The sequence below is a fragment of the Homo sapiens genome, chromosome 18, assembly GCF_000001405.40.
Source record: "Homo sapiens chromosome 18, GRCh38.p14 Primary Assembly".
In the NCBI taxonomy this organism is placed as follows: Eukaryota; Metazoa; Chordata; class Mammalia; order Primates; family Hominidae; genus Homo; species Homo sapiens.
Genome location: NC_000018.10, coordinates 65,537,406 through 65,552,201, shown reverse-complemented (window position 1 = coordinate 65,552,201; position 14,796 = coordinate 65,537,406).

Genomic DNA, 14,796 nt, shown 5'->3' with positions numbered 1-14,796 from the left:
AGAGCCTCATTAACGTTTCCACATTGTCTCCAGAGACTTCACGGAGAGTGGAGACCTTTTTACCACCTGGTGTGAATGAAGTCCTGGCTCCCTCCTTAGCCTTGTCTGATCATGGAGAGTGGAGACCTTTTTACCACCTGGTGTGAATGAAGTCCTGGCTCCCTCCTTAGCCTTGTCTGACACTATCCTGGTTTGGAGTGGGAATTAAGGAGACCTGTTAGAATCCAGTAAGGGAAAAGCTGTGGTTCCCCACTTGATCATTGTGGGCCTGGGTGAGAGTGAAGCCACAGCTGGAAATAGGTCTCTCTTGTTAGATCACTTCTTTCTTTATCATATGGCTAGAGAGAACAGAATTTTAGAGAGCTAATTTGTCTTAGCCCTGTAGCATTTTTGCTGCCAGCATCTTCATCTTTATATATAGGATATATGAGACAGAAAGAAAATCTAAGGACCTCACCATCATGCCATTTCTTAAATCCTGAGACCTCGGGCCATTCTGCCTTCTCTCCATTTTTCAGACTCTTCTTATGATTGTTTCATGTATAATGTCTAGAGTTTTCAGTTGTACTTCATAGGAAGGATAGAGAATGTGTTTACCAGGGGTAGAAAGTGAGCAAAACATTTTTGATGGTGTAATGCTATGATGGTTGCTTATTCAAATCAAGGGCCTGCTATTATCTAAACAAGCAAAAGTCATGTTTATGGAACAACATGTGTAATAAATTACTAAATAAATAAAGAAATGAACAGATTTATGTGTGATAAAAGAAACATCAAATTCATTTGGAAACAAATGGGTTATTTAAAAGGCAGTGTTTGAATTATAGCTTAATAAATCATAGAATGTTGAGAGGCTATAAATTGAAACTACCATTAAGGATAATATTTCTGAGGAATCTTTAATGAAATAGAAATTTCATAAGCTATCGTGTTAAGTAAAAAATGTATGCTATTATACTTTATAAGCTAAATATTAGAAAAGATAAATTTGATGTGTATTAACAATTTTCAAAGGGAAAAAACTTTCCAAATATTAATAAAAATATTATATTTAGATTTTATTATCATTACATAAATGGTCTGACGTATATTGTTCTATATTTTTAACTTCTTCAAAAGTTAGGCTTGTATAAAAATGTTGACATTTTTTATTTTATACATGTATAAATCAACTATCTCTAAAACTCATTCACAATGACTAAAACATTTACAGCTACATCCTTAATGCCTTTCATGTTATCTAACATTTTTTAGCATATTGAGAAAAACTTTACATAAGTGAGAAAAAACATAAACATATATCCTAGAATATTTTCTATAATTACATGATATTAATATTATTTAAAATTATGTTTGCTTTCAGAAAATATTTCTTGTATACCTACCATTGGCCAGCCTTATTGGCGTTTACAGTATTTTTCTTAATTCTTACTAAATATCTACAAAATTATTTTATTCTTTTATTTTACATGTGTGGAATTGAAAATCTGAAGATTTAAAGAAATTCGTGTAAAGTTTCCCAGATTATTCATAGTAAATTAGGTTTTACCTCTAGGTCAGTTTAAGCCAAACTTAGAGACTTTTTTTTTTCTGTTAACTATAACAGAGGTAGAGATTTAAACAGATTTGTAAAGAATGTTTTATGAGTGACTTAATTTTTTATTGAACTTTCAGTTTTTTATTTAAAATTAAATTGTAATTTAATCTTTGGATTTCTAAATTCTTCTGTGCTGAATGGGGATGAGATAGAGTGGAGATTTTTTGTGGCAAATAGAATTTGTTTTGCAATAGTAGGATGGGCTTTCTACGGAAAAATTCACATTTTAAGTCACAGGATTTTTTTTATTATTGTTTTCAAGACAGTTATTTTTACATTGAAAAATCATTGTTCAGAATCCATTAAAATAAAAGATTATTTTTCTGTTGTTACTGCATTTTTTTCTTATAGTTATAATGTTATTTGAAATTATACTTTGCGCTTTTCCAGGGTTAAAGGCTTCTGGAAGGAAATGATTTTGTTTAATGATAGAGGTGTAAACAAGTTTTCTTAGCACCTTGATTAGAAACTTTTAAGGATTTGTGATGCAATGTAAACATTAATCAATTATCTGTGATTTGTACTTGAATATCTCTACACCACTTTAGGATGATTGTAGTAGTAATGTTTTCTGTTTAAGAGACTTGATATTTGTCTTTTTGGAGTAATATTAATTTTTTATTATACACATGATTAATTGAATGAAATACATACTGTGTATCTCCTCCATGTATAGCTATCTTTCTGCTGGAATATATCTGTAAAGAATTGTTTAATTTTAAATAAATTTTGATTTATTGTTAAAAATATAAAATGCATTCAACATGCATTCTTCTCCTTTCAAATAATGTTGTTATTTTAATAATGTTATTTTAACAATGTGTTAGCATGTTATTTTGATTAATAAAATACTGACTCATGTTTTCTTATGCTTATGTTTTTGTGATATTACTGAATTTTTTAAAAATACATAGTTTACAAAATAAGGAATTTAAATTATTGGATACAAGTTCGTTATTAATCAAGCATAACAATGTTATTCATATTTTTCCATGAAGTGGACTCTTAAGTAATTGTGCACATGTACCCTAAAACTTAAAGTATAATAATAATAAAATAAAATTAAAAAAAGTAATTCAACATAATTCTAATAATTTTATAATGACAATAATATTGCTATGAAAATTTTCTTTAAAGGCACATTTTTGGAATATATCTGTTACATATAGAAAGATCCTTATGGCACAAAACAATAGATACTAAAGGAATATTTATTATTAGTCTTAATGAAAATCACTTTAGCCTTATTATTGATAAGTGACTAAACCCTGACAATATTAGCAGATCACTGTTTAGAAAAGGTGGTAGGATTTATCACTAGGCAGCTGTTTCAATTATGATATAGTAGGATGGTCAGCATTCAAATCATGCAGTCAATGAGTTAGGTAGACATGTAGGCAATCGTTCAATATGTGGTCTGTGTTTTGTGATGAGTTGAGGCACTGAAGCCTTATGGCCTGGCTGTGAGTTACAGTTTGATTACGTATTAACAGTGTGGCTTATCTGTCAACTTTTCTGTGCCTCAGTTTTGTCATCTATAAAATGAGCTAATAATAATACCTTTCTTTAAAAGTTGTTGAATTATATAATTTAGTACAGGGAAAATGACCACCCACATAAAAATATTCCATAAACATTTGTAATGGTTATTATCATTATAGTATGAAACAATTGAAGAAATTATCCTATTTTATGAGTTTATATTGGATTGAGAATGATTTAATTATTGTTTCATATTTGTTTTTGATATTTTTCTGGGTATAAAATTCTTATTTTGGTGAGGGTATTATAAATACTGCTTAACTTTTGAAATATACAACATGACCTACAGAAATAAACTTTTGGCAATCCATGTATACCTTCAGGAAAAATACTTCTATATAATTAACGGCTTACTAGGCATGTTACCTCTGTAACTGAAACAGTTATCTAAACTTGTAAAACACCCTTTGGTCATGTTTGGCAGGAACTGTCCCTGAAGGATATCACAGGAAATGTGCACCGAATGTAAGAATATTTTTCTTTCCTTCTAAAGTATTTAGAATTTTTTTTTGCCTTGAAAGTGATTCTTAAGGGGAATAAAAGTCTACATTTAATTAAAAATGGCCTTTAGGGCATTTTTCAGAAATATGTCTAAACGTGGGGCACCGTTCTGAAGAGAGCTCCTTGTAATTATATTCTCCATGAGTGCTGATTGAACTAATTAAAAATTGTAAGTCCTATCAAGACTATTTATTGAAATCTATTTGGCAGCTTCTCTTACTTGACATAGCTCAGTAGTTTATTCTTTTATACTCATTTAAGAATGGCAGCAGTGATTCAAGCAATGAATGAAAGTTGAGAAATGTTTGATAAGCAGATAAGACCATATATGATCCTTTGTACTTCAGAAAGTGACTCAATGGGTAAATCCACAGATTATAAAATAACCTTTTAAATCACCTAGTAATTTAATTTTATTTTGCTTTTATTATCTAGAAAAATGCATTAGGTAGCAACAATTCAGTTCCCTATTCAAATTTGTTCTTATTGATTTGGTCTGAAGGAAAATCCAAAGTTAATTATTGATGTGTTAGTGGTGATCAGGAGACATCCATTAGGGAACTGCATAGTGAAATCTAAAATAATTGTAGTAAAACCAGGCCTTACATCGGTGGGATATGAATAAATGCTTGGTATTCTTTTCTCAGGGAGGGGCTATCTATATTTCTCCTGTGTCACCGTTTGCTCAAGGCACAGAAAATATGGGTAATATGATCAGAGGACTATCAAAATGAAGAAAATATGGAGTGAATCAGAGTAGGATGGGAAATTCTGCTTTACTGTGTACTAGCTCTGTAAACTTGAGCAAGAAAATCAATATTTTTGCATTTCAGCTATTTATTTGCAAAACAGTATAGTGAAATGAATCTGGAAATATTGTAAGACTAATGCAAATTAAGTGCATGGAGGAGTTCCTGGGAGGGCAAAACTCATTTTCAAAGATGATTCTAACAAGTAAAATTGTTTAAAAAATGAAGTGGACTTCCTCATGTTCATACCCACTTACTGGGCGTGTTCTAAAGAGATTCATGCTTTATAAAAAGGGCCAGTTTGGTTAGCTTCAGGGATCCTTTAGTCCTGATAGTCATTTATGGCCAGTTTGAAATGTAAAATTGACTGAACTATACATATTTGTGATAGGGGTATGGGTAAGTGTCATATATTGTTTCTTTGAATATATATTTTTCTACTTCTGCTGACAAAACTAACCAGAAAAGTAGAAACTCTCCCTTTCCATTGATGTAAGAGTACCATTTTTATTCATATGGAAACATGTAAAATATGATTCTAGAGGATATAATTGAGAAATCAAGGCACAGATGGTGAATTACTCATGCAATGAGTCATGAGGTAAAATAGGAAGTAGACTGTCTTGTGTTCATTCTACAATATTTGTAAATAGTTTTCAAAAGGCATTGCAAATGCATAAAATCAATTTGTTTTAGAAATTTGTATTGACCTTACCTGTAAGTAACCAGTGTCACTACATCTATTGATTAAATATGTATATTCTTTCTTTCCCTGAGCACCTGCCAACTGAAAAAAAGGAAAAAAAAAACCTGAATTATCAATCAAAGATTCTCATAAAAATAAAATCAAAACGTGATACAAACATGTTTGGCAATGTCTCAAATTATGTTCAAGCTGTTTTTACAATGCTAAAGATTCACCTAGAACCTTACCCTAGAGGCTTTTCAAACAACTGACATATGTAAATCCATAATAAATGAAACATTTAGGAGTAAGAAGCACATTTCCAGGGAGAAAACAAACAGTTCAGAGTAAGTTTCTGAATTTGAATAAAATAAGCCAGTGGGAAGCTGTGAAAGCCACTACCATTAACCTATACAGTAAGTAAGATGAAAAGAAGATCTGGACTGGTATCTCTTGGTCGTCGGATTTCCGAAAAAAAAATTTCTTAATAAAACTGGTAGAATTCAAGATTTTTTTTGTATGAAAACTAGCCTATTGGTAGATGAAATTTTATTAGACTGGGAAGAAAGAGGTTAAAAAAAAACACCTGAAATATTTTAAAATGCTAATTCAATATCTACTTCATTCTTTTATACCGCTTACAAGTCACAGCTTATTGCTGTTAAGTATAAGCCAAGTGTCTAAAAATTATTGTCTAAGGGAAGAGGACGGTGAATGACACTTAGAACAAATAATCACTTAACCTTGGTTATCGAATTAGAGATTCTGCTTAAGTTCATTGTAAAAAAAAAATGAAGTAAAATAATTTATGCACTCTAACATGCTAGTGCTCAAAGAGCGAATTCCGAAAGCAAATAAAAAAGCAAACTGTCTAAACTGATGAAGAGACTATCTGGAACAAACTAAGTTATTTGTTGGAATTAACAACCCTTTTAAAGGAAACATCTGAATAATTTCTGAAAGATGCCGCAAGATTAAATTCCATTCTGGTGAGTTGAATTTATTCAGAAAGCTAAATTTCAATTTTGTAAGAAGTCTAATAACCTTTAACCAGACATTGCGTTTCTTAAATATCATCAAAAAATGTTTTCTAGTCACTTTTTTTCCTTTAAAAACTCCCCAACTTAAGAAAATGTTTGAACTAAATTTTGTAGAAATCTCATCTCTTGCAGCAAGCTTGAAATCAAGCATTGTCACAAGCACACAATTAATCTGGTGTTAAGTAGAAAGGCAGGATGAGTCAAGGCAGCTTTCCTTCAACTCTAATAATCAAGCAGCAGGTGAAGAGATCTGGGTATGCAGAATCTAGGTCAAGGTTCTGACTTTCATTTTATTTAAAAAACAAAACAAAACAAAAAAATAGATGTTAAAGTGGCTTTATTCACATAAACATGATTCATAGGAAACTCTACGAATAAGCTACCAGAAATCAAAAGTGAATTTATCAAGGTCTCAGTATACAAGTCAATTTTTTTGTTGTTGTTTGTTTGTTTGTTTAATTATACTTTATGTTCTGGTATACATGTGCAGAACATGCAGGTTTGTTACATAGATATACACATACCATGGTTGTTTGCTGCGCCCATCAACCCGCCATCTACATTAGGTATTTCTCCTAATGCTATCCCTGCCCCAGCCTTATCCCCTTCGACAGGTCCCAGTGTGTGATGTTCCCCTCCCTGGTCCATGTGTTCTCATTGTTCACCTCCCACTTATGAGTGAGAACATACAGCGTTTGGTTTTCTGTTCCTGTGTTTTCTGAGAAAGATGGTTTCCAGCTTCATCCATGTCCCTGCAAAGGACATGAACTTATCCTTTTTAATGGCTGCATAGTATTCCATGGTGAGTATGTGCCACATTTTCTTTATCCAGTCTATCATTGATGGACATTTGGGTTGGTTCCAAGTCTCTGCTATTGTGAACAGTGCTGCAATAAACATACGTGTGCATGTGTCTTTATATTTGAATGATTTATAACCCTTTGGGTATATACCCGGTAATGGGATTGCTGGGTCAAATGGTATTTCTAGTTCTACATCCTTGAGCGATCGCAACACTGTCTTCTGCAATGGTGGAACTAATTTACACTCCCACCAACAGTGTAAAAGTGTTTCTATTTCTCCACATCCTCTCCAGCATCTGTTGTTTCCTGACTTTTTTCTGTCTACTGCCATACCATCCTGAATGTGCCCGATCTAGTCTGACTTGTTCTTAAGAAGAAATTCAACACCATGCGTTAATGAATGCTAGGAATTTTAGACAGATTGAGGGCAAGGAGGAAGCAGAAGGAGCTGGATTTCTCCCTTAAATTTGGACTCTGAGAGGAATTGCACACAGGATGCTCTGTGCTAACACGTGAGCAGTAGTACAGTAGATAAGGTATTGCGAAGTCTGCAAAGAAGATCTGAAAGAGAACAAACCAGAAGAAATTCATTCAGAGCATGCCCTGGCAAAGAAGTCAATCATCATCAATTTCTTTTGGCAGACTCAAAGACAGGCAGTGTGCCTCCTATGAGTAGAATCATACAGCATTTGTCTTTCCGTGACTGGCTTTTTTTACTTAGACTAATATCCTCAAGTTTCATCCATATTGTTGCATACTGCAACCTCCTTGTGGCTGAATGGTATTCCATTGTGTGTATAGTGTGTATTTTCTTTATCCATGTACCTGTTGATGGACACTTAGGTTGTTTTCACATCTTTTTTATTGTTAATTGTCAAATTCATAGAATCAAATAGAGGAATGATGGTTACCCGGGGGCTAGGGAGAAGGGGGAATTACTAATAATGAGCAAAATTTTCAGTTAAGCCCGATTACTAAGCTTGAGAAAATTCTTCCATGTTTAAAAATAGAAGTCTAAAATCTGGATTTTCAGATCAGAGATCTCTATTTTTATAAGATCTCTATTTTATAACTTCGTGGTGGTCAAAAATTAAAAAGAAACAGAAGCAAAAACATGTCTGCTTGACATTACTCAGGTTGTTCATTTGTGACCTCAGATCTCATTTTGGAGTGAAATAATATTATTTTTGTTATTTTCTATAGTAAACAAAATATTTAAACTTAATTCCTAAAAAACTATTAAACTAAAATATTTCCTTTTTTTCTTTTTTTTTTGTTTGAGACGGAGTCTCACTCTGTCGCCCAGGCTGGAGTGCAGTGGCGCGATCTCGGCTCGCTGCAAGCTCCGCCTCCCGGGTTCACGTCGTTCTCCTGCCTCAGCCTCCCGAGTTGCTGGGACTACAGGCACCCACCACCACGTCCGGCTAATTTTTTTGTATTTTCAGTAGAGACGGGGTTTCACCGTGTTAGCCAGGATGGCCTCGATCTCCTGACCTCGTGATCCACCCGTCTTGGCCTTCCAAAGTGCTGGGATTACAGGCGTGAGCCACTGCACCCGGCCAATATTTCCTTATTTAAATGTTGATGTGTCTAAATCAGTATCTAATATGCATGGTCAACTTCTGTCTTCCAGTAAACAAAACACCTTATACTTCTGTCTAACTGTAGAGTTAATTGAGATTCTCTTTTTATTGAATCACATACCATTAATGCCAGAGCATACCATTTACTCAACAGATAAGACTTTTTAAAATACATTCATCTAGAAATACTTTCATGTTACAATTTTATATTGCAGTGCATTTGAATATCCCTCATTTCCTAATACAAACCCTTCTAACATTTTAATTACTCTGATTATAAGAATATGTAGTGTATGTCATGTTTTCTTAAAAATATACCTATAATACTTTATAATAAATCAATCAATATTGTTCTATTTTATGCAAAATAGTATGTTCTATAGAAGCAGTGTTTGATTGAAACACATTTTTTTTTCCCTGAGGTTCTCCCTTTGTTCTATCAAAAATTTTCTGAAATAATAATTATTATTATTAATAACAAACTAAGGTTGTTCTCATTAGATCTGACTGATTATTTACAGAGCTGTAGCAAAAGTGTAAATTTACCATGTAGGCCTTTGTAACTTTACCGGAATTTTCCTAAGAAATCCCACATAAGGATTTTTAAATTGTCTTAACAAACTTTCTTGACTCTAGGAATCTAAACTAAGACACACTCTCCAGCAGGATTTACCTGAAGTAACTATACATTTAGGTGAATTCTGTCTCCAAAATATCCTAAGTTCCCTGGACTTACCAGGAAGTAAACTTTCTCGCTCACCATTAAGGCTGAGAGCACTGTAGACCAGTAACAGGTTCCATTTTCCCAAGAGGGTCTTGTAAATATTGCTCTGTAAAATCAATCTCACTTGATTAAAAGTTTCTGGTCATAGTTGATTAAATGAGCATGGTTTTCAAATATGACATTCCAGGCAAGTTCTTGGTTGCAAAATCATTTTTTCCAATTACATCCTAATAAAAAAAGAATGCTTTTTTTCACTGAACGTATGCAAATAACTGTATTGTCATGAATAGTAAGATTCAATAAGAATTTCTGAATTCTAGGGGGAGAGGGCCAGGAAGAAATAATAAGAGATCATTTTAAAGTGTTTTATTTCAGAGTACAGAAACAAAATTTACTAAGTTGTTTTGAGTTACAGACAGCTTAAGAAGAAAGAAAAAGGGCTTTCTAAAATATCCAGAAAACAGATCATTAAGATATCCATAATATCAACAGCAAAACAAAAATTGCAGCCATCCCTCATCAGTTCATTCAATCCTCTGTGATTAATTCTTATTTTGCTGAATCTTGGGTTAGAAATTTCAGCATAATCTTAATACATCTTTTTAAATTTTAGTGCTACTTTTCAGACTCATTATTTGTATGTGCAGTTCAAGGCAAATCAAAATCCCTCTTCCACAGACCTAGAACTTTCTATATCCACTCAAATTTTGTTCTTCACTCTTCTCTTTCTCATTCTGTAATGACCAGACATTTTACTTTAGGACAAAAATACATGTTTTTCTCTTGATAAACAAATACCTATCTAATTATCTTGTATACAAACTTGTACTTCCATGTCATTTTTGCTCTCAGTAGTCTCATTTATGTATACTAATTATAACCTAATTTTACTAATTACAACTTCTAATCAAAGTAACTTCTATTGCACAAAGGAAACTATAGGATGAACAGTTGTGAACTGTCTGCCAGGCATCAGCATTTTAGCAACAAAGCTCATGAATACACATAACATTAGTTTCTATACCTACAACTATTTCTTTAAAAACTGCTTGAAGAAGCAAAAATGAACATATCTATTAACAGAGCTTCCCTGTAGTTTAGAAAATAAGTTCTAAAGCTAGTGCTTTTCTGTGGTATAGAAAAATAAGAAGTGCATATAAATTTAAAATATTGCCTAGTTATCAATGTTTCAGTATTTTATCTTAGAAATGAGCTAGGCATTTAATAATTATCAATGAATTAACTCCATTTAATATCATTCCAAAATATTATTGGCCAAAATTTTGGATTATCTTCAAGGTAACATTCTACAAACATAATTAATATTGGAATAGTTTGTCAGAATAACGATTCATTTTGGTTAAACAACAACTTAAATTTTTTATAACCTTAAACATTAAGTAGCAATAATGTTAGTTTATTTGATAAGTAAATATATATAAGTAAAGGGAAAACATATGCAAGTGGAATACAAACATACGCATGTATTATACTTACCACTCATAAACCACAGAAGACAGAGCTGTTTTGTTAGACCAAAAGTATTAGTTTTGTTTGTTGAAGATTTACCTACATTTTATGAACTTGAATTCTTAACGCTTTTGAATTGGTTTCTGTAAAAATACATTTCCTTTCTAGTTTATTAAACATATTAGAAATAATTCTATTTTCTTGGAAAATTTAAACATTTTTAATTTGATTTCATCTCTATATACTAAGCTTCTTTAATTTTACAGATTTTATAATCTAATTTGCAAAGACAATTTGGAGATAGAATAATTACAATACACTATATAAAGTAAAGGACTTTATGAAATATAGACATTTAGGAATACTCAGAGAGAACTGGTAGTTTCAATTCTGAAATTTTAGCAATAGGTAAAGATTAAGCACAGAAACACAAAATTCACCGGTTCAGATACACAAGAGGTTCTCTTTCCGTTGGGCACAAACTTAATTGTTTGAGCTCAAAATAGGCCAATATGCAAACAAACAAAAGACTAACAAACCAAATTTCTTGTCACGTTTCACCCAACAGAGACTATAACTCCGTAAACCATTAATTCATTTCCAGAACCACCAAAAATGGAAACCATAAAACCAAATTTCCAACCAAAGAACAGATGTATTTATACAGAGTTAGAAAATTGTTCATGTACCCTAAAACTTAAAGTATAATAATAATAAAATAAAAAAAGAAAATTGTTCATACTCGAAACAGATAATCTAAAAAGGAGTGCCCTATGTAGACAATAAATTGTGGAAAAATAATGCAAAGGCAAAGAAGGAAAAAATCAGATGATCTGAAGGAATGTTCTTTCACCAATGCATAGGTTTATGTTGAAATTCGATTTACCTCTGCTTTCTTAACATGGACAAGGCTTTCTCAGTGTCAGGTAAGTCAGAAGTCATAAAGAAATGGTAAAAATGTCTATCAAAATAAAACATACTAGAATAACCAAGGCAGCATAATTCAATTTAAAGGACTAGAATGTGATTGTATATATATATTTATATATACACACACACAAACACATATATACACACATCTATATATATACACACACACACATATATATACACACATAGAATCTTCAATCAGCACACAAATCTAGATATCTATCTCTTTAGTCAACACACATGCATCTGTATATTCTAAATATAACTATAGACTATTATATAAAGCATATATAGGGTACTTGTAGTCAGAACATTCACATTGTTTTGAAACATTGGTATTATAAAAACTTGTAAAATTAAATACAACAATCCATAAAAAAGAACAAAAGCTGTGAACAGGGAATTAATAGAAGACTAAATGCAAATTTGAAATGCTGCCTAATCCTACTAATCATCATGTAGAGAAAATTAAACCATAAGAAAGATTTTTTTCCTATTCAGAATTGAAAATGATAAAATATTCGAATATCTGCATGAGATATTTGAGTGACTCTTCAAAAAGACAGGAATTTGGCATATCTATTCAACCTTAAAATGCACATACAGAGTTGCTGGAGCAAATTTGCTTCATTTATTCTTTTTATTTTTGTGTTTTGTATCATCTTATTAAAAAACAAGCATGTATATTATATATTTATATATATTCATCTTGACATGAAAAACAGTAATGGTAATTCTAATACAAAAACTAACAGATTGAGTGCATGTGAATCACTAATATTGGTAGGCTATCCAAATATGCAGCTTTTGCTAGTATAAGTGTGATTTTTGCATGTTCTGTTGTCTTGTATTATATTTGCACCAACATGACTATTGTTTTAAAAGAATAAGGAATTCAGTTATTCAATTAATTTCAAAATAGTTATCAAAGAATAATCCAAAAGTTCCTACCCTAAAAACTAAGATAAATGTTGAAGGTGATGGCTATCCCAATTAAACTGATTTGATCTTTACATTCTTTATATCAATGTATCAAATTATCACTTGTACCCTCAAAATATGTACATCTATTATGTATCAATAAAATATATAAAATGAAAGAGCTGAGAATAATAAAATAAACTGGTTAAGTGAAACTATAGGCATTTCACACACTGGTAAACTATTTCCAGCAATCATGTTATTCTTGAATATCAAAAGAAAGATTCATAATTCATGCTCTGTTCGTTAAGAGGTATTTGTGTTTAGGTACTACTAGATAAAATTTATTTATTTTTTACAACTCCTAAATAACCTGACTTTTTGGGGAGATGTGAAATAAAGCCACTTTTATTGAGACTTCCAACCACACCAGAAGGGAAGTCATCCTTAGGGAAAACACTTCAATTTCAAAGGAAGCCTACCATTGAAATGTCACCCTTTTTGCAATAAGCCATTAACAGCAACTAAAGTGATTTAAAATGGCATTCAAGGAATAATTCATGAAAAGGACTGGTTTGGTTTAACATAGATACACCTTAGTAAGATTATCAGAAATCTTCAAACAGTGATATTACCACTTAAAGCTCTTTAATTAAGTGGAGATAGAAAATCAAAACCCAGGTCATCTGTTCAAGTAGTGCTGGGAAATAATAACAGCTCTCATTTGACACAGTGATGGATATTTTTTTAAAAAAGGAAAAATAGGGCAGAATATTTGGTAGGTGAAAGAGAATGCTTCCTTGGGGAAGAAATATGGAAGACATTTGAAAGTCATTCACTGCAGGGCTGGGCGTGGTGGCTCAAGCCTGTAATCCCAGCACTTTGGGAGGCCGAGGAGGGCGGATCACGAGGTCAGGAGATCGAGACCATCCTAGCTACTACGGTGAAACCCCGTCTCTATTAAAAATACAAAAAAATTAGCTGGGCGTGGTGGTGGGCGCCTGTAGTCCCAGCTACTCGGGAGGCTGAGGCAGGAGAATGGCCTGAACCCGGGAGGCAGAGCTTGCAGTGAGCCGAGATCGTGCCACTGCATTCCAGCCTGGGCAACAGAGCAGGACTCCGTCTCAAAAAAAAAAAAAAAAAAAAAAAAAAGAAAAGAAAAGAAAAGAAAAAAAGAAAGTCATTCACTGTAGAGAATCCTTACCCTTCAAGATGGGAACATTCTATAAGAAAAGTCAACTTAATATTGCATTTCCCAAACACTATTAAGTCTTTAATTTCTCCTCGTACATGAGGAATTCTCACCAATATACAACAAAAACCAAAAATCAAAACGCTTATTTTGAGTATTAAGCAACCCTACCACCTGACTAATAAAAATAAATACTCCAGCTGAAACTTCCTGACATATTCCCTCCCTGGTTTGCTCTCTTTCCTGCTGTTAGTTTGTAATCAATTCTCTCGGCTCATCTTGGATATTATACCTCTTGTGTTCTCTGAAATCTTTTTTATTTCAGTAAGCAAGTCTCATTCAGAAATCAAAAGGTCAACATCTTGAACAAACCTTTTTTTCTCAATACATTTTGACAATTTTATTATCTTTCTTCTTATCCAATAAAAAGGTATGTCTCTCATAACTGCTGTTGTGAAGTGTACAGCTGCTTGGTGAATCTTGCCTGATGAAGACGATTTTCAAGGGTCAATCCAAATGAACTAATATAACATTACTTATTCCAGAAGTAAAACAAAGGGGTGAGGTTGTCAATAACATCCTTCTATGTGAACAGTTAGCAGTTATACTATAATATTTTCTTCCTTTAGCATTCAGTTCTTCTTTAGCAGATCAAAGCAACACATATTTTCAGAAACAAACTAGCATTCAACATGGTTCAAAGATGGTAATAATAATGAAAAAGCAAATGGTATAATTAACCTATACTTTCTGATATGTGTATTAAAATATTTATGCAGGTGTTTATTTTCCAGATAATGGCAGTATAGCTAAATATAATTTGTAGATATTTTTCTCCAAGTTTTGTAGCTGAGAATAAATTGTTCTTACTGTATTTTCATGTTTCCCCTTTAGTTAATTTCAACTATCCCATATGAGAAATTGTATTTACTACTGCCCCAAATTTCCCAGTTCCCTTGCATGTTTTTGTGGCCACGTGACTTTTCTGGACAATGAGTTTTAAGGATAAATATTTTATATAATTTTTAGATATTTACATTTATGATTTTTGGGCATTTT